The sequence below is a fragment of the Homo sapiens genome, chromosome 2, assembly GCF_000001405.40.
Source record: "Homo sapiens chromosome 2, GRCh38.p14 Primary Assembly".
Taxonomy (NCBI): Eukaryota; Metazoa; Chordata; class Mammalia; order Primates; family Hominidae; genus Homo; species Homo sapiens.
The window spans coordinates 195737702-195764591 of NC_000002.12; the positions used below are offsets into that span (position 1 = coordinate 195737702).

Genomic DNA, 26890 nt, shown 5'->3' on the forward strand with positions numbered 1-26890 from the left:
ATGCCAGTGTGTTTTCTTTAGTCTTTATTTCAGAACATTTCCTTACATTTAAGTATGAGTCATATTAAGTTTAGCTGCATTTGCTCATAAGTAAATTCATAATTATAACTTTAGTCAAATGTATTTAAACAAACAAAAAAAAAGGTTTAAGTAGTAAAATATGCTTTCTCTACTCAGCCAGCCAACAAGAAATAGGAACAAGGAAATGATGTCTTCTGGTTATGAATTAAGTTGACATAACAGTGCTACACCTCGTCCAATCCAGTGTTCCTTGGGTTGGTCAGAGGGAAGAGTCATGGCAATCACAAAATTCGTGGAATGGCCAGTGGTGGATAATACTCCTCTCCGCTCACTTGTCTTATACAATGGAGCAACATAACTTGGCCGTTTTGGTATATCTGCCCTCTTACAGGGCTTTAGCCACATCTGGAAGAAAGTACATAACACCTCTTTAAGTCAAGGCTGTTTGTTAAATGTACATGTGTTTGAGCCTACTATAGTATTCTCAGAGTAAGGTTATGCATGCAGATTTCTGTGGCCCAAATTTATTTTCACCAGCAGTGTTGTTGTGATTGCTCAAAACATTTTATAGAACTCTCATAACTGAAAAAAATAGTTTTCGCCTTCTCTTTCTAAAAGCATATTTTCTACCTATTTATCTCTCACTCAGCCACAATTACCTGGGAAATGACTTTTAGTGCTTACAATGATAAAAAAAAAATCAGATACACTTTCAAAGGAGAGAATTGCCACACTGATACTGAGAATCATGTGCCTTTATATTAATTGAAAGCCAGTCCCAAAAAATTCTGAAGGGATTTTTATCAACAGCTGTATAGCTAGAGAACCTTCCCATTTTAGGAGACTATTATAAAGGAGATAGATACTATATATATTATGCTGTTTAAAATATAATTGCATTCCTTTATAACCACAATCTATACCCCATTCTTTTTAGTCATTAAATTCCTACAATTTGTTATTAGACCTCATCAATCTTAAAAATAAGATTTTGAGGCAGTTTGATCTTTGAATGTAAGAGTAAGAACAAACTATGTTCATAAAGATATTTTAGAATTTAATTCAATTTATTTTTCTGGAGTGGAAGTAATAGCAATCCTCGAGATGATAGGACTTGACAGCCCCAATGTTCAGACCCCTCTTTTAGGTTTCTCAGGTCAAAACACAGATTGTTGAAGGAGCTTATAAGGATGCCAGTTTCTCTATTTCTCCCACTTAACTGTGGAATCCAGATTTTCATAAGGGGGATCCACAAGGCAGTTTTGCAAATACTAACTACAATGTAAAACTCGAAGCACTCTTCCTAACTCAGATTTCATTTCAACCCCAGGGGATTTTTCTAATGAGAATTTTTATTTCTAACTAGCTGCTTATTCAGGAGAATCATTATCCATTTATAAATTAATTTCTTCTTGTACACACTGCAAGCTACTTAAGAGTTTCCATGTGAAAGAAAGACTAAATTTCGATCAGCTCCTGAAATTGCATTTATTTGTCCTTGAAACTTTCAATTTGGGTCTTGTATTTTAAACTTTTGTGCCCATGGTATTTTAAAATGTATGACAGCTTTCTCGCAATTGGCTGTCAGTTGACCCCTCACTGATCCTGTTACAGTTGCTCTGAAGGGGTTTTTAACCTGTCTTTGAGCTGCTGCCAGAATCCTGCAAAGAAAATTCACATAAATCCCACTGCCTATATTTTATCACAGCATCCCAGATCTACCCTTCAAATTGCTATTTTCTTAAGCCATTTTCTCATGATGCAGTTATAGATTGAATCTTAATTATATTTTACAAAGCTTAATCTGCCAATACTGGATAGGTGCCTAGGAAATGTGGCTTTTTAAATTGATGGTTTTTGTAATCTTTAATCTGCAAATTTCACATTTTCAAGTCAAAGTATAAGAAAAATATAATGAACACGTGTGTGTGTATGTATATACAGTGGACCTCACTATTTGTGGATTCCACATTTCCAAATTTGCCTACTCACCAAAGTTTATTTCTAATCCTAAAATCAATTGGCAGCATTGTCACGCTCCTTGGTGGACATTTGCAGAGCATCAAAGATTTGCATCATCCAACACACGTTCCCAGCTCGGGTTGAACCAGGTGAGGCTCTGCTTTCTTGTTTCACCTCATAACCGTAAACAAGTGTCCTTTTCGTGGCCTATTTAGTACCAGGTTTTTCACATTTTTGTGTTTTTGTTGGCGATTTCACTGTTTAAAATGACCCCCATGTGTAACACAGTGCTGTTTTTTTGTTTTGTTTTGTTTTGGAGATGGAGTTTCACTCTTGTTGCCCAGGCTGGAGTGCAATGGTGCGATCTAAGCTCACCGCAACCTCCACCTCCCAGGTTCAAGCGATTCTCCTGCCTCAGCCTCCCTAGTAGCTGGGATTACAGGCACCTGCCAACACACCCGGCTAATTTTTGTATTTTCAGTAGAGACTGGGGTTTCTCCATGTTGGTCAGGCTGGTCTCAAACTCCCGACCTCAGGTGATCCGTCTGCCTTGGCCTCCCAAAGTGCTGAGATTACAGGTGTGAGCCACTGCGCCCAGCCAGTGCTAAGTGCAAGAAGGCTGATGCGCCTCATAGAGAAAATATTAGCTCATGCCTCAACGAAGCTCATAGCATTTTGACCATGAGTTAATGTTAATGACTCAACATTGTGTATTAAATAAGGTGTCTTTAAACAGACACAAAATAAAGGTTATTTACTGATCAGCTAACAAAAATGTTGTGACCAAAGAAAGAACCCTGTATTTATTTCCCCAGGAGCAATGGTTCAGTATTTGCTAATTCAATGTTGGAAGCAACTTTATAGAACATAATTACCATGAATAACAAGAATTGACTGTATATGTGTGTGTGTGTGTGTGTGTGTGTGTGTGTATATATATATATATATATATATATATATACATATACACACACACATATGTATACACATATATACACACAATATGGGGTCTATTTTATATATAATATATAAAATATGTATAAAATAATTCCACATGTATATATAATTAGAATTTACTAACCACAGGCACTGTATCATAAAGAATTTTGGGATGCGATTCTGCAAGTTTCTTGATCTTTCTATTCCAGGAAGCTCCATCCAGAAATAATCCGTGAATGAAAACACCTAAATATAAAAGAAACACATTAATATAACACTTGAAATATGCATTTTGATTGAGTTCTGAATCTGAAATTTCTACATGTAAGTACTATGCAGGTGATACTAGATTTGCAGCCTAAGATTTGTTCTCCAATGAAAGCAATCTCCTGAGTGTTTTAACATCCATATTTCAAGAACATTGAAACTTTGCCTAGTGAAATAAGACAATAGTAAAATTAGGTGTGGAAGACGAGAGGAAAGAAATTTTAAACAGGTCTATGGGAAGTTCTCAGTGTGTGTGTGTGAACATTATCAAATTTATATTGTTAATTGGTCAATGATTATACTGTGTTTTCAGAAGCTGTGAAATCTAGGGAAAAAAATAGTTCTTAATGTAATAGGGATCCAGTGGTGGCTAGTGGGCAGCATATGAACAAAGTACCCTTCTGCAGATCTCTAATGTCGTAAGAGTTAAATTGCTCCTCCCCTTTTAGAATTTATTCTTACTGCCAAGAGCTCTCCTTAGTCTGTTGATGATGAAAGACACATGATGAACTCTCTCTAGAATGTCATGTTGTACACTAACAGCTAAAGAGTACAATTTAGGCAATCAGTGAAACATGAGTTACTTTCTTTGGCTTTACATATCAGTAAAGCCTCATGGATTGGAGTCTGCAGGTAAAACTGATTGTAACAGTACAGATGTCAAGCAATGTAGACTTTGGGAAGACCAAAGTTTTAGTTCCTAATTTGTTGTGTGACCTTGAGCAATTAATTTAACTTCAAAACCTGTTTTGTCATCTGGAGAACAACCTTAAAAACATTTGTAAAATAGTAATATCTGTTTTGTCCACCTTGTAGAGTTGTTAGAATCAAATCAGCTAACATAGGGGGAAATGCCTTTGTAGAGTAGCATATGAAAATCTACTTGAGCAGTGCTGTCCAGTAGAACATTTTGCAGTGATGGAAATGTTCTATGTGTTGTCCTGTATGGTAGCCGCTAGCTATAAGAGGCTGGTATTAGTAAGCTGAACACTTGAAATGTGGCTGGTGTGACCAAATAACTGAATTTTAAATTTTATTTTAATTATAGTTAAATTTAAATGGCCACATGTGGATAATTTAATGATAGAGTTGAGGGAAAGACTTACCCTTTCTCTTCTCTGGGTTTTAGCTGATGGGAAGAATACGTCGGAATATAGTATCAGTTTTATTAATTGACAAAGCACTTGTCCAATAACTGCCAGTGTATAACTCTGGTAAAGCTGGATTGCAAAATGGACCTTGATTCCAGGGCAGTGGAGGGGTGGACTTGCGTGAGGGGAGAGATGGGTCTGCAGAGCACATTCTGCGTCTTTACCTCTGTGGCCAGCTCTAAGGCCTGTCCATCAGTCACCAAAACAGGTGGGGATAGGGCAAAGTAAGAGAACTTTATAGTATGGAATACAATGGAAAAGAAAGAGAACCTACACACAGGTCCAAGTGAGCTATTTAATACCCTGCCTCACTGACTCGAAAACATTGCCCAACAAATTTCTGCCTCTAACCAATCAGATTAGTTATTCCTCATTTGGGAAGAGTGATAATATAATAGAAAGTAAACAAAAGAGTTCATTTCAACACCTAGAAAAGTGGTGATAGGGATAAACGTTCTTTCCAACCCATCAATTGTATAGGAGATATAATGAGAATCTTTAAATACATTCTTATTTCTCATGGCTAGTAAGGACCATGAGGATATAGATACATAGAATATATAGAAAATGACAGGTAGATGTTAACAGGTCCTTTTTAACAGCTGTCCTGCTCTATGAGTGATGCCCTTTGCCATCTGTGAGATGTCATCAGCACATAGTGTCAGCTATGGTTTTTCTAGTTCCTCTCTTTTACACTATTCTCTGCCTCCCTTCATGCTGTGCAGTGCTGTCAACTGGTGACTGAGTCACCTAGTAGTACCTAGCAATTCAGATAAGAGGAATCTTAGGTAATTGCATCTACAATATAGGATGCTGTGACGATTAATATTGTCAACTTGATTGGGTTGAAGTATGCAAAATATTATTCCTGGGTGTGTCTAAGAGGGTGTTGCCAAAGGAGATTAACATTTGAGTCAATTGGATTGGGAGAGGCAGACCCACCCTCAGTGTGGGTGGACACCATCTAATCAGCTTCCAGTTCAGCTAGAATAAAGCAGGCAGAAGTTGGAAAGAGCAGACTTGCTAAGCCTTCTGGCCTTCATCTTTCTCCCATGCTGGATGCTTCCCACCCTTAAACATCAGCCTCCAAGTTCTTTGGCTTTTGGACTTTCGGACTTACTCTAGTGGTTTGCCAGGGGCTCTTGGGCCTGCGGCCACAGACTGAAGGCTGCGCTGTCTGCTTCCGTACTTTTGAGGTTTTGGGACTGGGACTGATCCACTACTGGCTTCCTTGCTCCTTAACTTGCAGACGGCTTATCGTGGGACTTTACCTTGTGATTGTGTGAGTCAATTCTCCTTAATAAACTCCCTCTCATATATACATATATCCTATTAGTTCTGTCCCTCTAGAGAACCCTAATACAGATTTCAAATACTAAAAAACGTTCAGCAGCACTGTAGCCTTTAGGTGCCCCTTTTCATTGTATTTTAATTTAATCTTAGCTATATAAGGATGACAGTGTTATGAGGCCCAGACCCTAGAAACAGGAACATAACAAAAATATGTCTAAAGTATGGTAAAGGGGTAGAGATTGGAAAAAAAGAAACTTGGCTTCTATCCCAAGCTGTTCTCAGGTGGGATCTATGTCCCTCCCACTAGGGTCCTATGAGAAAGTGATTCCTTGGGGAAAAACCCATTTATCTAAATCATTCCATGGATTCTCTATTTCTTTCTGATAATTAGCTAAGTAGGAAGGAAAAAGCTAGGATGACAAAAAGGCTAATTTGTGGATATATGTGCTTATTGGTGAAACGTATATTGTGCATTGGTAAGTAAATAAAGTTCAAGATTTTGCAGAAATGTATCAGCTATTATAAATTAAGCCTGCACCGGACACCTTTCAAGATGGCCAAATAGGAACAGCTCCAGTCTACAGCTCCCAGCATGAATGACACAGAAGACAGGTGATTTCTGCATTTCCATCTGAGGTACCGGGCTCATCTCACTAGGGAGTGCCAGACAGTGGGTGCAGGACAGTGGGTGCAGCGCACCATGCGCCACCCGAAGCAGGGCAAGGCATTGCCTCACTCGGGAAGCGCAAGGGGTCAGGGAGTTCCCTTTCCTAGTCAAAGAAAGGGGTGACAGACACCACCTGGAAAATCGGGTCACTCCCACCCTAATACTGCCCTTTTCTGACGGGCTTAAAAAACGGCGCACCAGGAGATTATATCCCACACCTGGCTCGGAGGGGCCTACGCCCACGGAGTCTCGCTGATTGCTAGCACAGCAGTCTGAGATCAAACTGCAAGGCGGCAGTGAGGCTGGGGGAGGGGCGCCCGCCATTGCCCAGGCTTGCCTAGGTAAACAAAGCAGCCAGGAAGCTTGAACTGGGTGGAGCCCACCACAGCTCAAGGAGGCCTGCCTACCTCTGGGGGCAGGGCACAGACAAACAAACAAAAAGACAGCAGTAACCTCTGCAGACTTAAATGTCCCTGTCTGACAGCTTTGAGGAGAGCAGTGGTTCTCCCAGCATGCATCCGGAGATATGAGAACGGGCAGACTGCCTCCTCAAGTGGGTCCCTGACCCCTCACCCCCGAGCAGCCTAACTGGGAGGCATCCCCCAGTAGGGGCAGACTGACACCTCACACGGCCGGGTACTCCTCTGAGACAAAACTTCCAGAGGAACAATCAGACAGCAGCATTCACGGTTCACGAAAATCCGCTGTTCTGCAGCCACCGCTGCTGTTACCCAGGCAAACAGGGTCCGGAGTGGACCTCTAGCAAACTCCAACAGACCTGCAGCTGAGGGTCCTGTCTGTTAGAAGGAAAACTAACAAACAGAAAGGACATCCACACCAAAAACCCATCTGTACATCACCATCATCAAAGATCAAAAGTAGATAAAACCACAAAGATGGGGAAAAAACAGAGCAGAAAAACTGGAAACTTTAAAAAGCAGAGCGCCTCTCCTCCTCCAAAGGAATGCAGTTCCTCACCAGCAACGGAACAGAGCTGGACGGAGAATGACTTTGACGAGCTGAGAGAAGAAGGCTTCAGACGATCAAACTACACTGAGCTACAGGAGGAAATTCAAACCAAAGGCAAAGAAGTTAAAAACTTTGATAAAAATTTAGACGAATGTGTAACTAGAATAACCAATAGAGAGAAGTGCTTAAAGGAGCTGATGGAGCTGAAAGCCAAGGCTCAAGAACTACGTGAAGAATGCAGAAGCCTCAGGAGCCGATGCGATCAACTGGAAGAAAGGGTATCAGTGATGGAAGATGAAATGAATGAAATGAAGCGAGAAGGGAAGTTTAGAGAAAAAAGAATAAAAAGAAATGAACAAAGCCTCCAAGAAATATGGGATTATGTGAAAAGACCAAATCTACGTCTCATTGGTGTACCTGAAAGTGACGAGGAGAATGGAACCAAGTTGGAAAACACTCTGCAGGATGTTATCCAGGAGAACTTCCCCAATCTAGCAAGGCAGGCCAACATTCAGATTCAGGAAATACAGAGAACGCCACAAAGATACTCCTCGAGAAGAGCAACTCCAAGACACATAATTGTCAGATTCACCAAAGTGGAAATGAAGGAAAAAATCTTAAGGGCAGCCAGAGACAAAGGTCGGGTTACCCACAAAGGGAAGCCCATCAGACTAACAGCAGATCTCTGGGCAGAAACTCTACAAGCCAGAAGAGAGTGGGGGCCAATATTCAACATTCTTAAAGAATTTTCAACCCAGAATTTCATATCCAGCCAAACTAAGCTTCATAAGTGAAGGAGAAATAAAATACTTTACCGACAAGCAAATGCTGAGAGATGTTGTCACCACCAGGCCTGCCCTAAAAGAGCTCCTGAAGGAAGCACTAAACATGGAAAGAACAACCGGTACCAGCCACTGCAAAATCATGCCAAATTGTAAAGACCATCAAGGCTAGGAAGAAACTGCATCAACTAACGAGCAAAATAACCAGTTAACATCATAATGACACAATCAAATTCACACATAACAATATTAACTTTAAATGTAAATGGACTAAATGCTCCAATTAAAAGACACAGACTGGCAAATTGGATAAAGAGTCAAGACCCATCAGTGTGCTGTATTCAGGAAATCCATCTCACGTGCAGAGACACATAGGCTCAAGATAAAAGGATGGAGGAAGATCTACCAAGCAAATGGAAAACAAAAAAAGGCAGGGGTTGCAATCCTAGTCTCTGATAAAACAGACTTTAAACCAACAAAGATCAAAAGAGACAAAGAAGGCCATTACATAATGGTAAAGGGATCAATTCAACAAGAAGAGCTAACTATCCTAAATATATATGCACCCAATACAGGAGCACTCAGATTCATAAAGCAAGTCCTGAGTGACCTACAAAGAGACTTAGACTCCCACACAATAATAATGAGAGACTTTAACACCCCATTGTCAATATTAGAGATCAACGAGACAGAAAGTTAACAAGGATATCCAGGAATTGAACTCAGCTCTGCACCAAGCGGACCTAATAGACATCTACAGAACTCTCCACCCCAAATCAACAGAATATACATTTTTTTCAGCACCGTAACACACCTATTCCAAAATTGACCACATAGTTGGAAGTAAAGCTGTCCTCAGCAAATGTAAAAGAATAGAAATTATAACAAACTGTCTTTCAGACCACAGTGCAATCAAACTAGAACTCAGGATTAAGAAACTCACTCAAAACCACTCAACTACATGGAAACTCAACAACCTGCTCCTGAATGACTACTGGGTACATAACGAAATGAAGGCAGAAATAAAGATGTTCTTTGAAACCAACAAGAACAAAGACACAACATACCAGAATCTCTGGGACACATTCAAAGCAGTGTGTAGAGGGAAATTTATAGCACTAAATGCCCACAAGAGAAAGTAGGAAAGATCCAAAATTGACACCCTAACATCACAATTAAAAGAACTAGAAAAGCAAGAGCAAACACATTCAAAAGCTAGCAGAAGGCAAGAAATAACTAAAATCAGAGCAGAACTGAAGGAAATAGAGACACAAAAAAACCCTTCAAAAAATTAATGAATCCAGGAGCTGGTTTTTTTGAAAGCATCAACAAAATTGATAGACCGCTAGCAAGACTAATAAAGAAGAAAAGAGAGAAGAATCAAATAGACGCAATAAAAAATGATAAAGGGGATATCACCACCGATCCCACAGAAATACAAACTACCATCAGAGAATACTACAAACACCTCTACGCAAATAAACTAGAAAATCTAGAAGAAATGGATAAATTCCACAACACATATATCCTCCCAAGACTAAACCAGGAAGAAGTTGAATCTCTGAATAGGCTCTAAAATTGTGGCAATAATCAATAGCTTACCAACCAAAAAGAGTCCAGGACCAGACGGATTCACAGCCTAATTCTACCAGAGGCACAAGGAGGAACTGGTACCATTCCTTCTGAAACTATTCCAATCAATAGAGAAAGAGGGAATCCTCCCTAACTCATTTTATGAGGCCAGCATCATCCTGATACCAAAGCCAGGCAGAGACACAACCAAAAAAGAGAATTTTAGACCAATATCCTTGAACATTGATGCAAAAATCCTCAATAAAATACTGGCAAACCAAATCCAGCAGCACATCAAAAAGCTTATCCACCATGATCAAGTGGGCTTCATCCCTGGGATGCAAGGCTGGTTCCATATATGCAAATCAATAAATGTAATCCAGCATATAAACAGAACCAAAGACAAAAACCACATGATTATCTCAATAGATGCAGAAAAGGCCTTTGACAAAATTCAACAACCCTTCATGCTAAAAACTCTCAATAAATTAGGTATCGATGGGACATATCTCAAAATAATAAGAGCTATCTATGACAAACCCACAGCCAATATCATACTGAATGGGCAAAAACTGGAAGATTCCCTTTGAAAACTGGCACAAGACAGGGATGCCCTCTCTCACCACTCGTATTCAACATAGTGTTGGAAGTTCTGGCCAGGGCAATCAGGCAGGAGAAGGAAATAAAGGGTATTCAATTAGGATAAGAGGAAGTGAAATTGTCCCTGTTTGCAGATGACATGATTGTATATCTAGAAAACCCCATTGTCTCAGCCCAAAATCTCCTTAAGCTGATAAGCAACTTCAGCAATGTCTCAGGATACAAAATCAATGTGCAAAAATCACAAGCATTCTTATACACCAATAACAGACAAACAGAGAGCCAAATCATGAGTGAACTCCCATTCACAACTTATTCAAAGAGAATAAAATACCTAGGAATCCAGCTTACAAGGGACGTGAAGGACCTCTTCAAGGAGAACTACAAACCACTGCTCAATGAAATAAAAGAGGATATAAACAAATGGAAGAACATTCCATGCTCATGGGTAGGAAGAATCAATATCGTGAAAATGGCTGTACTGCCCAAGGTAATTTACAGATTCAATGCTATCCCCATCAAGCTACCAATGACTTTCTTCACAGAATTGGAAAAAACTACTTTAAAGTTCATATGGAACCAAAAAAGAGCCCACATCGCGAAGTCAATCCTAAGCCAAAAGAACAAAGCTGGAGGCATCACACTACCTGACTTCAAACTATACTACAAGGCTACAGTAACCGAAACAGCATGGTACTGGTACCAAAACAGAGATAGAGACCAATGGAACAGAACAGAGCCCTCAGAAATAACGCCGCTTATCTACAACTATCTGATCTTTGACAAACCTGAGAAAAACAAGCAATGGGGAAAGGATTCCCTATTTAATAAATGGTGCTGGGAAAACTGGCTAGCCATATGCAGAAAGCTGAAACTGGATCCCTTCCTTACACCTTATACAAAAATTAATTCAAGATGGATTAAAGACTTAAACGTTAGACCTAAAACCATAAAAACCCTAGAAGAAAACCAAGGCATTACCATTCAGGACATAGGCATGGGCAAGGACTTCATGTCTAAAACACCAAAAGCAATGGCAACAAAGCCAAAATTGACAAATGGGATCTAATTAAACTAAAGAGCTTCTGCACAGCAAAAGAAACTACCATCAGAGTGAACAAGCAACCTACAAAATGGGAGAAAATTTTCGCAACCTACTCATCTGACAAAGGGCTAATATCCAGAATCTACAATGAACTCAAACAAATTTACAAGAAAAAAACAACCCCATCAAAAAGTGCGTGAAGGACATGAAAAAACACTTCTCAAAAGAAGACATTTATGCAGCCAAAAACCACATGAAAAAATGCTCACCATCACTGGCCGTCAGAGAAATGCAAATCAAAACCACAATGAGATACCATCTCACACCAGTTAGAATGGCAATCATTAAAAAGTCAGGAAACAACAGGTGCTGGAGAGGATGTGGAGAAATAGGAACACTTTTACACTGTTGGTGGGACTGTAAACTAGTTCAACCATTGTGGAAGTCAGTGTGGCGATTCCTCAGGGTTCTAGAACTAGAAATACCATTTGACCCACCCATCCCATTACTGGGTATATACCCAAAGGACTATAAATCATGCTGCTATTAAGACACATGCACACATATGTTTATTGCAGCACTATTCACAATAGCAAAGACTTGGAACCAACCCAAATGTCCAACAATGATAGACTGGATTAAGAAAATGTGGCACATATACACCATGGAATACTATGCAGCCATAAAAAATGATGAGTTCATGTCCTTTGTAGGGACATGGATGAAATTGGAAATCATCATTCTCAGTAAACTATCGCAAGAACAAGAAACCAAACACCGCGTATTCTCACTCATAGGTGGGAATTGAACAATGAGGACACATGGACACAGGAAGGGGAACATCACACTCTGGGGACTGTTGTGGGGAAGGGGGAGGGGGGAGGGATAGCTTTAGGAGATATACCTAATGCTAAATGAGGAGTTAATGGGTGCAGCACACCAGCATGGCACATGTATACATATGTAACTAACCTGCACATTGTGCACATGTACTCTAAAACTTAAAGTATAATAATAATAAAATAAAATAAAATAAAGAAATAAAATAAATAAATAAATTAAGCCTGGACCAACACTGTGGTAGTCAGTAAAACAGTTTAATTAGCTGATGACTACTCTTCAGTGCATGATCTTGGAACACTAAATAGGCTTTATGGATCCTTTAATAAGTTGTGCTTTATTTTTACTCCACTGTTTTCAAGATGATTTTGGATTTTTAATACTTCACCTTCTTTTATAAGAGCTTCTGTGGATTAAATTAGTAAATCAACGTAAAAATAAATATCAACTACCCTGTACAATAATTATGTTCAGTATATAATAATGGGCAACACAATAGTTTGATCTTGGGTATTAGGTAGTTCAGAAGCTTTTGGCAATGCTTATAAATTCAGTCTTTTAGCTGAGTTCAAAAACATATAACCCTGAAAGACATCATCAGTGCTGCTCAAACTTCAACCCAAATGTGACCCTCTGCGTATTATAATAATACAAAAAGAACTAGAAAAAAATTCATGCATCTGAATTAAATACTTAAGAATTAACCATAACTCCTTTAAGAAAACTTTCGTTGAGAAATGTGATGTTTTCAAACTTCTACCAAAATACTCAGTAGGCCATAGAGAAAGCAGCTAAGCATGAGAGCCAGATGGCCTGGGTCTGAATCTCACCTCTGTTCATTAGCTGTGAGACCTTCAGCAAGTTACTTAACCCCCCTGAGCCTTAGTTTCCACCTTGTCTAATGGTGATAATAGTAGTATCTGAGCCATAGGGGTATTGTGAGGATTCAGTGTAATGGACTGGGCAGCCCAGCAGTGGTACAGAGCAGCCCCACCATAGGTATCCATGCTGTTTCTTTGATTTGCTTTTACCCAATTTAGACATTCCTTTCCTCCATTGCCAAATACTTAATTTGAGCCAAATTATTTATCCTTCCAGTATGGTGCTAAATTTATCTAACTATACTTTTAATTTTATGAGGGCAGGGGCTCAAACTCATATTTATTAGTGTCTTTTATGACATGTAATATAGTGAGCTGTATGGGAAAAAATTTTGTTAAAGCTTATATTATTAAGGAAACAATAAACTAAATAACTTAGCAGAAGGTTGTTAAATTTCCTTCTGTATTTGTTTTATTTATTTATTTTAAAAGCCTCTAGTGGGATAAAGCTTCTTTTGAGTATGTTAAGAATAAAGGGATTTTGAACAAATGGTCAGAATAATGGTATGTTAGGCATCTGTGGCTGAAAAATAATATTTCTAAGATATCATATGTCCCAATGATTCTTTATTCCTTATATCTGTTGTTCTTAAATGTGTTTCTGCAATAAAACTGTTTAAGTATTAGAGACTGGAATAAGAGGTATCTTTAACAGGTTGGGTTCGAGTCCATACATTTTTAGTGGATTCCGGTAGCATAATTTTTGAAATTTCCCCCAGCAGCATTTGAGGGCCCTTTATGTGCTAGACACTGAGAGGCACTCAAGAAAGAATGGTGCAGACAAACAAGATCACCACTCTTCTGGTATCTGTACTGTAGTGAGGGAGAGCGATAATAAAGAAAGAAATACATAAAATAATTACAGTCTGACTGATGCTTTGAAGTTAATAAGCAGAGTCGCAAGAGAGGATAATAAGGTGAAATGGGCGGCTCCAACAGATGGAAGTGGTGTTCCCAAGATCCCAAAGAGAAAAGAACATGAGCCGTTCTAGAAACTGTCAGGAGGTTAGCGTGACCTGAGCATAGTGGCACATGATGAGCTTGTACAGGTGGGCGGCGGCTAGAACACGCCTGGCCTCATTGTCACCATAAGGGGTCTGGATTTTATTCAAACCACAAAGGGAAAAAACTTATTTAGTTGCCTGGGTTTTCAATGGAGACCAAAGGCTGATATTATCTATCTTCATTTTTTAAAAAAGTTCTGTGGCTTCTATACAAATTAAGGGCAATAAGTGGGTAATGACAGTAGGGAGACAGGATAAAGGCTAGAGGAGAAGGCAAGATAACAATGGTGGTGGGGCCAGGTGCAGTGGCTCACGCCTGTAATCCCAGCACTTTGGGAGCCCAAGGTGAGTGGATTCCTTGAGCTCAGGAGACTGAGACCAGCCTGGACAACACAGGGAGACCCTGTCTATACAAAAAAATGAAAAAATTAGCTGGGCAAGGTGGCGCACGCCTCTGGTCTCAGCTACTCAGGAGGCTGAGTGGGAGGATCACTTGGGCCCAGGAGGTCAAGGCTGCAGTAAGTCGAGATCATGCCACTACACTGTAGGTGGGGTCACAATGTGAGACCCTATCTCAAAAAAAAAAAAAAAAAATTGTGGTGGCAGTAGGACTGTAGGTGAGCAACAGCCCTTGATATGAACAGATGAGGGAGCAGAAGAACGAAGAGTTCCTGGGTTTCTGTCTGGATGGTGGTGCCATTTATTGAAATGACTCATTTTACATATTCAGGAGATACCAAAGTGTAGATTTCAGGTTGGCAATTGGATATGGAGGTCTGATCTTAGAGGAAAGATCTAGATTGAAGATTCAGAGATTTGCATTTGGAGGACATAAGCAAAGAGTTAATGTTTAAAGATAAAAAAGAATAAGGTCGGTCACTTGGAGTAGGATGCTATCAGAAAAGAGAAATAGTCCCAGGACTCAGTCCTTGGAAACTCTAATATTAGGGGAACCTAAACCAGCCAACCAGCATGAATATGGCCAATGAGATAAGGAAAATCAGGAGAGGGAGATGTACTGGAAACAAAGAGAGAAGCATGTCTCTACAAATATGAAGATGGCAACTGGTAAAAATCACTAAGAGGTTAAGATGAAGACAGAAGAGAATTCATGGGATTTGTCAACATAGAAGTCATCACTAACTCTGAAAAGAACAGCATCAGTTGATTAGAGGGGATGAAAGGTAGATAACTAATAGGAAGTGAGAACCTGCAGACAGCATGTAAAGACAATTCTTTTGAGGAATTTTGCTATACTGGTGAGCGGAGATACAGGACAGCAGCTGAGGGGGATTGTAGAAAGACAATTGAAATGGCTGATTTAAGATGAGAGATTCTAGAGCATGTTGTAGGCTGACAAGAAGTATCTACTAGTAAGAGAGAAATAATTTATTCCTGAAAGAGAGGGCACAATTAAAGGAGCAAAGCCCTTGAGAAGGAAAAAGAAAATGGGATCTGGATGCCTCAAGGGTGCAGATGTTGACAAATGTATTGAGTCGGTGGTGCTAAAAGCTCTCTTCAGATGGCTTTTTTTTTTCATGAAGGATAAGGTGAGATGTGGGAGCAGAAGGAAGGGCAAAGAGGGCATAAGTGGTTGTTTTGAGAGGAGGAAAGCAAATATCCCCGGGAATAGTAGTGGGATTGCTTCATAGTGTTACAAACCATCTTGAGATTTGTGACCATCAATTTAAAATAAAACTTCTTGGCACAGTAATGCGATTATCATACACTGTTGTGATTACATATCTACTTGTTAGTGTCTCCCACCACAGTATAAATTAGTTGAGGGACAAGATCCTAAATTGTTCCCTGTTGATATCTCCAGTGCCTGATAGAAGAGTGAGCCAGTGAATTCATCATTCAGTGATGAATAAGGAAGTTGTCTTCAACACACTAGTTAAAGCAGTACACATTAACAGGCACTTAGAGATTAATGTCATTTATATAAAGACAATTTTGATAAAATTCTGGAATCTGTAGCATTTAAAAAATAACTCTTATTTAAAATCGTGGCCTTGTCCACTAAATTTGAAATAAAATATCAGGGTAGCCATAAAGTGTAGACAATCATCAAGAAAATAAAGATTTCCTCACAATCTTTCAACCACAGAGCAAATGTTTCTATTAGCTATAAGTTTTGGAATGTTAAGCTATAGGTTTTGGAATGACAGGAAAGAATACATATCTTAGGATTCTATGAAGGTATATGCTTCAAGGGACCAGGAAAAACCTTCTTTTCAATGCTGTACATGTCAAGTCCCCACAGCCAACATAAGATTATGGCTGATTATCCTATATGCTGTTAATTTGATGATTACCTTCTTAACATTTTAGGAATAACTTCTAACTTACAAAATTTTGCAAAAAGTACAAAGGACATATATTCTTTATCCAGATTCATCTACTGTTATCATTTTCTTCCCCTATTTGCTTGATCATTCCCCCTCACCCCTTCTCTTTCTCTCTCTTTCCACCTGGCTCACTCATTTGCTCTCTGTATCTCAATAATTTTTTTCTCTGGCATTTAAGGTAAATTACATTCATGTTTATTACTTTTTTAACAGCTGAGGAAAGTATGCTAGAATGTCATGTTTTTGTTCAGTGCCCAGATATGAGCCGACTCATTCTGTCCCTGCACTTACCATCCTCAGGAGGATGCTTGTATTCTTTGTCTTCCATCACTTCATAGTCAAACCCAAGAAGATCAATAGGAATTGTGTATTTCCTGGCGTAGTTCTGCTGGGCACCGGTCAGGAAGGCTTGTGTGAAGAAGAAGCCAGAAAGCCAGAAGACTGGAGGAGGACCAACCTCATACCATTGCTAGGGTGTAAAACACAAGTGGGCTAACAGTAGCACCTTTCAACCTTTTTTTCTTTTTTTTTGAGACAGGATCTCTGGTTGCCCAGGCAGGGCTCAGGTGATCCTCTCACCTCAGCCTCCCAAGTAGCTGGGAATACAGGCACATACCACCATGCCTGGCTAATTTTTTTGTATTTTTAGTTGAGAAGGGGTTTTGCTATTTTGCCCAGGCTGGTCTTGAACTCCTAGACTCAAGCAGTATGCCTTCCTCAGCCTCCCAGAGTGCTGGGATTACAGGCATGAGCCACCACACCTAGGGAGCCTTTCAACTTTTGAATACAACACTACTTAATAAAATGTATCCAAAGACATTTGTTGTCTTTTAGATAAACTAACAAATAACCCCTGAGGAGTAACAAGCCATACTCTCAAGGTTTTAAAAACAGGTGGTATATTCGGTATTTGTCCTGACTTCAATTTCATACCTATCATATCAGCTTGGAAATTACAATGTGCATTAATGCAAACAAATGTCTGTTTTATACATGCCCCATGATTCTTTCAGAAACGCTCCCTACAATAGTGAATATCTAATACGCATTGCTACACAATATATCATGTTACATAGTTGAACAGAAGAAGAGATCCCCATAAAGTCTGGTCAGATGGTTATGTTTTTCACTTTTCTTCTCTCTCTAATTAGTCATTAGTACCCAATAGAATGTTGCTTTGGAAGTTTTTCTTCCTACTTCACTAAAACACAGTAAAATTCAACATATAGGAACACAATATTGTACAAGGAATTCCTGGAAGAAGCAGGGTAGTGAGACCTTAAGGCCTTTAGAAATATCAAGATACTTTAGTTCTCTGTTCATAACATAGATTCTAATGGTGAGTCAGTTGAATACCAACTTTAACTAGATAGTAAATTAGAGAAGCCAATCTGAAGAAATGAGTTTGAAAAGCTTTTCCCTAAAAGAGCCCAAGGTATAACTTTATCCTTCAAAAACAATCTTAGTTCCTTAGTATTGACTGTAGCATAACAAAAGGCCTGAATTATGAAAAGGGAATTTAACCATTTTTATCCCTGCAGAAATTTCTTCATAGGCAGCTTTTGACACATTATATACAGAATCTAGGAAATTAATCAATATTTCTAATAGGTAGAGTTGTTAATAAGAACATAGTTAAGCACCAATATTACCAGACAATTAGTAGATAGGCTTCTGCCCACTCAACATTTCCAAGACAATTAGCCATTGAGGTCATTACTGACTTGGGCTGAACCAGCAATCTAGTGATTCCATGACCTAGAAAAGTTCTGGGCAATGAAGCTATAATACCCCTCACTGGAAGCTTGACTGGCTTTCGAAAATGTTTTGCTGTAGGTATCTATTTTAATGTTAAATACCTAGTGGAAAAACCAACATAGCTAGATGTTTTCTGCCTTCATTTAGTGCTAGCTTTTTGACAGTTCAGTGTAGCAGTTACATACATTATATGAAATATTAAGTAGTGGTGATTTGTGCCTGGGATGCACAGAAAAACTAGAGAGTAATACTCATTACATTAAGCATTCTGACGAAGAAAATGAAACCAGGAGAAACTTAACAATATACGATCATTTAGACGAACTTACCTGCAAGAATTTTAGTCTTGCAAGGAAGTCATTCACATAGCTGCCAAGTGGTTTAAGGCTTGGGTAGGATTTACCCATCCACATTTCTGGAATTTTGACATTCAAAATGCTGCTAACCACTTCTTCAAGATCTGTAGACATGACTGCAAGCCCCTGAAACACATTTAACCTTGGTTAATATAATAGTATAGATTATGATAGATTATAAGCAACCACCTTTTAAATACCTCCTTCATGATTATCCTTTGTTTACATTGTGATTAGTTAAGGTTGAGTCATACAGGAAAAAAAAAAAGTGAAGATATTTGTTTTTCCTTACAAGTAGGCCAGGGAGTCTTTGAATTATTCCTTAGAAAAATATTAACAATTTTAATCTAACCATTTTTTGTTTTATTTTTTGAGACGGGATCCTTCTCTATTGCCCAGGCTGGAGTGCAGTGGTGGGATCATGGCTCACTGCAACCTCGACCTTCTGGGCTCAATTAATCCTTCCACCTCAGGCTCCCAAGAAACTGGGACTACAGACATGCATCACCACACCCAACTGATTTTTTACTTTAAAAATTTTTTTGTATAGGAAGCCAGGCAAGGTGGCTCATGCCTGTAATCCTAGGACTTTGGGGCCGAGGCAGGTGAATCACTTGAGCTCAGGAGTTCAAGACTAGACTGGGCCACATGGCGAAACCTCACCTCCACAACAAATACAAAAATTCGCTGGGTGTGGTGGTGCACGCCTGTAGTCCCAGTGACTTGGGGGGATGAGGCAAGAGGATCACTTGAACCTGGGAGGTCGAGGCTGCAGTGAGCCAAGATTGTGCCACTGCACTCCAGCCTGGGTGACAAAGTGAGACCCTGTCTCAAAAAAAAAAAAAAGTTGTAGAGATGGGGTCTTACTATATTGCCCATGCCGGTCTCAAACTGCTGGCCTCAAGCAATCCTCCTGTCTCGACCTCCCGAAGTGCTGGGATTAAAGGCATGAGCCACTGCACCTGCACCTGAGCTAACCAAGTTTTAATAGAAAAATCTTAATCAATACTTGGCTACTCGCTACCTATTAAATCACAGACTAACTTTGACTTAGTTTACTGTCTATTAAGTGAATAAGTAATACAGTTCTATACTGCATTCTGAAAAGGATGGTGATAAATATAAAATTAGAAAAATTACATAAAATGCTTTGAAAAGTTAAAATGTCCTGGAATTGAATTATGAAGTCTAGTTGACCATTTCCCATTTTGAATGACTGATGCACGGATGTTAAAACTTTGAAGGCCCTGATAATTCCTGCTTATTTGACTTTTAACTGGGCCAGTTGCTATTATTCATTTCTGTCTTTTCTATAGTTGAAAATATTATTCCAACTAACATAGGGAAAAGATTTGGGAGTAAATTTGATGTACTAAATACACACATTTCATTTGCCATCTTCTCAAAACCCCGCTAAAACAGCAGTAAAGGAATTTACTTTTTAAAGACATAAGCCCCCAAGTGTAGAAACAAAGAGGGGAAGGGAAAATGACAACACAATTGTGGGAGCTAGAAAGCATATGGACTGCTGGTAGTAGATTTAGCATACAGAAGAAACCTGATCCTGAATTGGCAGGGGGAAAAGCTAAGAATCAACCAGACATACACTGCACAATACCCCTAAATCTTGGGAATGAATGTCATACATACTTCTGAAAGTGGGGCGAGGAGGGCAGTGTTAAAGATCATTAAAACTTGGTTTAAAAAACAGATCTTCCTCCCCCGCCCCAAAAACTATGCATTGCCTACCTTGAATATAATCTGGAGAGGAAAATGCAGAAATCCCTAGAGTGGGAAATGGCAGGCCCCGTTAGGGCCAAAGTTACCATACTGAAATCAGGGGGATTAAGTGAATGCATGAATACTGGATGCTGAGATTCCCTGGAGCTTCTTTTCCCTTTTAGTTCCCAGAATACTAGAGCCAGCCCTTTATCTTCCAGGAAGGACACAAGAAGAAGCAGGTCAAGAAGAAATACATAATCATGCTGAATGTTTCTTAAACAGCCTAGCCAGGTAACACTACATTGAAGACCACAGTCAACAATCACCGGTATTCTTATTGTGTTCATTCAACATGATAATGCCGCATTCTTAAACATAAGTAGACAACCCCAAATTATCAGATACCAGAAAAGGCTTCTAACATGTAAAGTTTTTCACTTATGCATTCAACTTCTAAACACAAAAAAGATTATTCTGATTTTTTGTTTCTTCTTGTATCTGTTTGGTAACATATGTTTTCCCAAGAATTTGTCTATTTCATTTACATTTTAAAATGTATTTACATTTTAAATGTATTGGCATAGGTTTGAGAAGGGAGGCAGAGCAAGATGGCCAATAGAAGCCTCCACAAATCGTCCTCCCTGCAGGAACACCAAATTTAACAACTATCTACACAAAAAAGCAACTTCATAAGAACCAAAAATCAGGTGAATGACCACAGTACCCAGTTTTAACTTTAATCACTGAAAGAGGCACTGAAGAGGGCAGGAAAGACAGTCTTGAATTGCTGATGCCAACCCTCCTCCATCACCCGGCAGTGGCAGTGTGGCACTGAGAATCTGTCGCTTGTAGGAGGGAGAGCACAATGATTGAGACTGTACTGGAACTCAGTGCTTTCCTGTCACAGAAGACAGCAACACCAGGAAGAGCTCAGCTGATGCCTGTGAAAGAAGCATTTAGACCAACCCTAACTACAGGGGAAGCACACATCCCAGCAGTTGGAACAGGAGTTTCAGCAAGCCTTGCCACCACCAGCTAAAGTGCTCTGGGGTTCTAAATAAATTTGAAAGGCAGTCTAGGCCACAGGAACGACAATTCCTAGGCAAGGCCTAGTCCTGTGCTAGACTTGGAGCTAGTGGCTTGCGGGGGGCATGCCATCTAGTGAGACACCTGCCAGGGTGGTTAATAGAGTGCTTGCACCACCCCTCCCCCAATCCCAGGCAGCATAGCTTGCAGCTCCAGGAGAGACTACTTCCTTACTGCTTGAGGAGAGGAGAGGGAAGAGTAAAGAGGACTTTGTCTTGCAACTTGGGGGCCAGTTCAGCCACAGTAGGATGGGGCACCGGGAACAGTCCTGGGGTCCACATTCTAAGCCCTGGCTCCTGGACAATATTTCTAGACACATATTTGGTCATAAAGGAACCTGCACTCTTGAAGGGAAGTGCCCACTCCTGGTGGGATTCATCACCTGCTGACTAAGGAGCTCTTGGCCCTGAATAATAAGCAGCAGTAGCCAGGTAGTACACACCATGGGCCTTGAGTGAGACTCAGTGCCATGCAGGCTTCAGGTGTGACCCTGCACGTTTCCACCTTGGTGGCTACCAGGAGAGATTCCTTTTTGAGGAAAGCACAGGGAAGAGTAAAGGGGGCTTTGACTTGCAGCTTAGGTACCAGCTTGACTGCTACAGTGGGGTATGCACCAAGAGGTCTCCTAGGGTCCCCAATTCCAGGCCTTGGCTCCTGGATGGCATTTCTGGAAAGGAGTTCAAGACTAGCCTGGGCAACATGGTGAAACCCCGTCTCTACAAAAAATAAAAAAATTAGCTGGGTGTTGGTGGTGCAGGTCTTTAGTCCCAGCTGCTTGGGGGGCTGAGGCAAGAGGATTACTTGAACCTGGGAGGTTGAGGCTGCAGTGAGCCAAGATTGTGCCGCTGCACTCCAGCCTGGTTGACAAAGTGAGACCCTTAAAAAAAATTGTAGAGATGGTATCTCACTATGTTGACCATGCTGCTCTCCCAACTCCTGGCCTCAAGCAATCCTCCTGTCTCAGCCTCCCAAAGTGCTGGGATTATAGGTGTGATCCACTGCACCTGATCTAACCAAATTTTAATAGAAAAATCTTCTTAATCAATACTTGGCTACTTGCTAGCTATTAAATCACAGACTAACTTTGGCAACATTCACCACAAGGTGGCTAAAGACCCCTTGGGCCTTGAGTAAGATCAGCAGTAGCCCGGCAGTACTCCCTGTGAACCTGTGATGATGGCAGCTACAGGGAGAGGCTCCTCTGCCTGTGGAAAGGGGAAAGAAGATAACACAACTGTGTTTGAGAATAGCTTTGTCTTGTAGTTTGGGTGCCAGCTCAGCAGCAGTAGAACAGAGCACCAGGTGAATTCTTAAGGTTTCAGGCTGTAGGCTCTGACTCCCAGGCAGCATCTCTGGACTCATCCAGGGCCCAGGGAAACTGACTGCTGTGAAGGGAAGGACATAAGCCTGGTTGGCTTTGCCACCTGCTGACTGTAGAGCCCCAGGGCCTTGAGCAAACATAGACAGTAGCCAGGGAGTGGGTACAACAGGCCTTGGATGAGACCCAGTGCTGTGCTGGTTTCAGGTCTGACCCAGCACAGTCTCAATGTTGGTGGCCATATGGGTGTTTTTGTCACCCCTCCTCCAGCTTCAAGCAGCTCAGCAGAGAGAGAGAGAGTCCATGTGTTTATGAGAAACAAAGGGAAGAGAACAAGACTCTTTCCCTTGTAATTTAGAGAAGTCTTCTGAACCTTATCCAAGACCACCAAGGCAGTATCTCTATGAGTCTGAAAGAGCTACAGTGTTACTGGGCTTCTAAGTGCCCCCTAAAGCAGATACAGCTGCAGTGACCAAAAACTTAGATCACAACATCCAAGTCCCTTCAAATATCTGGAAAGCCTTCCCAAGAAGCATGGGTACAAACAAGCCCAGACTGCAAAGACTACAGTAAAAACTTATCAGTGCCCACATACTGACAAACATCCACAAGCATCAAGACCATCTAGGATACTGAATAGTGTCTGGGTAGCAAAAAATAAAATAAAAAATAAGACCATTCATAAAACATGACCTTACCAAATAAACTAAGGCACCAGTGACTAATCCTGGAGATACAGATATGTGACCTTGCAGACAGAGAATTCAAATAAGTGTTTTGAGGAAATGCAAAAAAAGATTCCAAATAACACCGAGAAGGAATCCAGAATCCTATGAGATAAATTCAACAAAGAGATTGAGATTTTTTTAAAAGAATCAAGCAGAAATTCTGGAGCTAAAAAATGCAATTAATATGCTGAATAATGCATCAGAGTCTCTTAACAGCAGAACTAATCAAGCAGAAGAAACTAGTTAGCTAGAAGACAGGCTATTTGAAAATACACAGTAAGATGAGATAAAAGAAAAAACAAGAAAGCACACCTACAAGATCTAGAAAATAGCCTTAAAAGGGCAAATCTAACACTTATTGGCCTTAAAGAAGAGGTAGAGAGAGATATATATGGGAAGAAAGTTTATTCAAGCAGTAGTAACAAAGGACTTCCTAAACCTAGAGAATGATATCAATATTCAAGTACAAGAAGGTTATAGAACACCAAGCAGATTTAAGCCAAAAAAGACTCAAGGCATTTAACAATCAAACTCCCAAAGGTAGTAAAATAAAGAAAGGATCCTAAAAACAGTAAGATAAAAGAAACAACACACAATGGAGTTCCAATATGTCTGGCAGCAGACTTTTCATTGGAAACCTTACAGGCCATGAGAAAGTGGCATGGCATATTTAAAGTGCTGAAGGAACAAAACTTTTACCCTAGAATAGTATATCTGGTGAAAATATCCTTCAAATATAAAGGAGAAATAAAGAGACTTTCCCAAACAACAAAAGCTGAGGGATTTCATCCACACCAGACTTGTTCTATAAGAAATACTAAAGGGTATTCTACAACCTGAAAGAAAAGGATGTAAATGAGCAATAAGAAATTATCTGAAGGTATAAAACTCAGGGTAATACTAAGTTCACAGAAAAACAGAATATTATAACACTATAAGTGTGTTGTGTATACTACTCATATCTTGAGGAGAAAGACTAAAAGATGAACAAATAAAAAATAATAACTACAACAACTTTTCAAGACAGAGACAGTATAATAGGATATAAATAGGAAAAACAAAAAGTTAAAAAGCAGGAGGGATGAAGGTAAAGTGTAGAGTTTTTATTAGGTTTCTCTTTGCTTGTTTCTTTGTTTATGCAATCGGTTTTAAATTGTCATCAGTTTAAAATAATGGGTTACAAGATATTATTTGCAAGCCTCATGGTAACCTCAAATCAAAAAACATATAATAAATACACAAAAAGTAAAAAGCAAGAAGTTAAAACATACTACCAGAGAAAAATCACCTTCATTAAGAGGAGAGGAAGGAAAGGAGGAGAAAACCAGAAAATAACAAAATGGCGGGAGTAAGTACTTACTTATCAATAATAATGTTGAATGTAAATGGACTAAACTTTTCAATCAAAACACATACAGTGGCTGAATGAATTTTTTTAAAAAACAAGACTCAATGATCTGTTGCCCAGAAGAAACACACTTCACCTATAAAGATACATATAGACTGAAAATAAAAGGATAAAGATATTCCATGCCAATACAAACCATAAAAGAGCAGGAGTAGCTATACTTATATCAGACAAAATAGATTTCAAAACAAAAACTACAAAAAGAGACCAAGAAGGCCATTATATAATGATAAAGTGGTCAATTCAGCAAGAGGATATAACAATTTTAAATACATATGCACCCAACACTGGAAAACCAAGATATATAAAGCAACTATTACAGCCAAAGAGAGACACAGACACCAATAAAAATAGTAGCTGGAGACTTCAACACCCTACTTTCAGCATCAGACAGACCATCCAGACAGAAAATCAACAAAGAAACATCAGACTTAAACTGCACCGCAGACCAAATGGTCCTAATAGATACTTACAGAACGTCTCATCCAGTGGCTGCAGAATACATGGTTAACTCAGCACGTGGATCGTTCACATGTTAGGCCACAAAAAAAGTTTCAAAATATCCAAAAAAATGAAATAATATCAAGTATCTTCTCTGACTACATGGAATAAAACAAGAAATCAATAACAAGAGGAATTTTGGAAACTATACAAATACATGGAAATTAAACAATATGCTCCTGAAGACCAGTGAATCAATGAAGAAACTAAAAAGGAAATTCAAAATTTTCTTGAAACACATGATAATGGAAATGCAACATGCAAAATCCTACAGGATACAGTGAAAACAGTAGTAAGGTGGATGTTTATAGTTTAAGTGTTTCTAAACTATGTTTGTAGTTTAAGTGCCTACATCAAAAAAGCAGAAAAACTTCAAATAAACTACCTAATGATATATCTTAAAGAACTAGCAAAGCAAGAGCAAACCAAACCCAAAATTAATATAAGAAAAGAAATAATAAAAATCAGAGCAGGAAAAATTAAATGAAGAAAGTACATAATCAACAAAATGAAAAGTTGATTTTATGAAAAGATAAACAAAATCAACAAACCTTCAGCCAAACTAAGAAAATAAAAGAGAGAAGACCCAAATAAATAAAATCAGAGATGAAAAAAGAAACATTACAATAGATGGCACATAAATTCAAAGGATCATTAGTGGCTACTATTAGCAATTTATTATACCAATAAACTGGAAAACCTAGAAGAAATGGAGAAATTCCTAGAAACATACAACCTACCGGGATTGGACCATGAGGATATCCAAAAACTAAACAGACCAATATCAAGTAATAAGATCAAAACCATAATAAAGGGTCTCCCAGCAAAGAAAAGCCCAGGACCTGATAGCTTAGAATTCAGTACTGAATTCTACCAAACATTTAAAGAAGAATACCAATCCTACTAAGCTATTCTGAAAAAGAGAGGTGGAGGGAATAATTACAAACTTATTCCATGAGGCCTGTATTACTTTTACCAAAACCAGACAAAGACATATCAAACAAAGAAAACTACAGAGAAAAAAAACTACAAGCCAATATCCCTGATTTTTGCATCCCTGATGCAAAAATCTTGAACAAAATACTAGCAAACTGAATTCAACAATACATTCATCATGATCAAGTGGGATTTATCCCAAGAATGCAAGAATGATTCAACATACACAAATTAGTCAGTGTGATACATCATATCAACAGAATGAAGGACAAAAACTGTATAATAATTTCAATTGATACTGAAAAAGCATTTGATAAAATTCAACATCCCTTAATGATTAAAAAAAAAACTTTAAAAACTGGGTATAGAAGGAACATACATCAACTTAATAAAAGCCATATATGACAGACCCACAGCTAGTATCATACTGCATGGAGAAAAGCTGATAGTCTTTCCTCTTAGATGTGGAAAATAACAAGGATGTCCACTTTCACAACTGTTATCAACAAAGTACTGGAAGTCCTAGTTGGAGCAATCAGACAAGAGAAAGAAATAAAGCACATCCAAATTAGAAAGGAAGAAATTAACTTATCCTTGTGTGCAGTTGATATGATCTTATATTTGGAAAAACCTAAAGACTCCACCAAAAATACTGTTGGAATTGATAAATTCAGTAAAGTTACAGGATATAAAATCAACGTACAAAAATTAGTAGCATCTCTATATGCCAAGA

The 26890-nt window shown here is 39.1% G+C and overlaps 1 protein-coding gene and 1 long non-coding RNA gene across 8 annotated transcripts in view, besides 1 other annotated feature; one reads left to right on the plus strand and one right to left on the minus strand.

Annotated features, from left to right (window-relative positions):
* Nucleotide 1: 1 nt before the first annotated feature.
* DNAH7 (dynein axonemal heavy chain 7) overlaps nucleotides 2–26890 on the minus strand; it is a 331135-nt gene continuing 304246 nt past the window's right edge. For all 6 annotated transcript variants that reach the window (XM_011511488.4, XM_017004504.3, XM_011511490.4 and 3 more), the window contains 4 exons: nucleotides 18432–18584; nucleotides 16636–16813; nucleotides 3065–3168; nucleotides 2–426 (listed from right to left, as the gene is read on the minus strand). In XM_011511488.4, the coding sequence (XP_011509790.1) occupies nucleotides 220–426; nucleotides 3065–3168; nucleotides 16636–16813; nucleotides 18432–18584 (642 nt within the window). In that variant the 3' untranslated portion in view covers nucleotides 2–219. The remainder of the gene's footprint in view (nucleotides 427–3064; nucleotides 3169–16635; nucleotides 16814–18431; nucleotides 18585–26890) is intronic.
* LOC107985972 (uncharacterized) lies at nucleotides 421–25315 on the plus strand. Of its 2 annotated transcripts, XR_001739837.2 has the most exons (3): nucleotides 421–2132; nucleotides 3132–3246; nucleotides 20399–25315. It is a non-coding gene; the product is annotated as an uncharacterized LOC107985972 (long non-coding RNA). The 2 variants fall into 2 exon arrangements; XR_007087797.1 differs by lacking the exon at nucleotides 20399–25315 and having other exon boundaries at nucleotides 3132–6141.
* Nucleotides 6520–7020: an enhancer, noted in NCBI's record as "H3K4me1 hESC enhancer chr2:196608945-196609445 (GRCh37/hg19 assembly coordinates)". NCBI's record gives its function as "activates a minimal SCP1, AML or CMV promoter by ChIP-STARR-seq in naive and primed H9 embryonic stem cells {active_cell/tissue: H9 hESC(naive and primed)}" and the evidence as "EXISTENCE:reporter gene assay evidence [ECO:0000049][PMID:30033119]".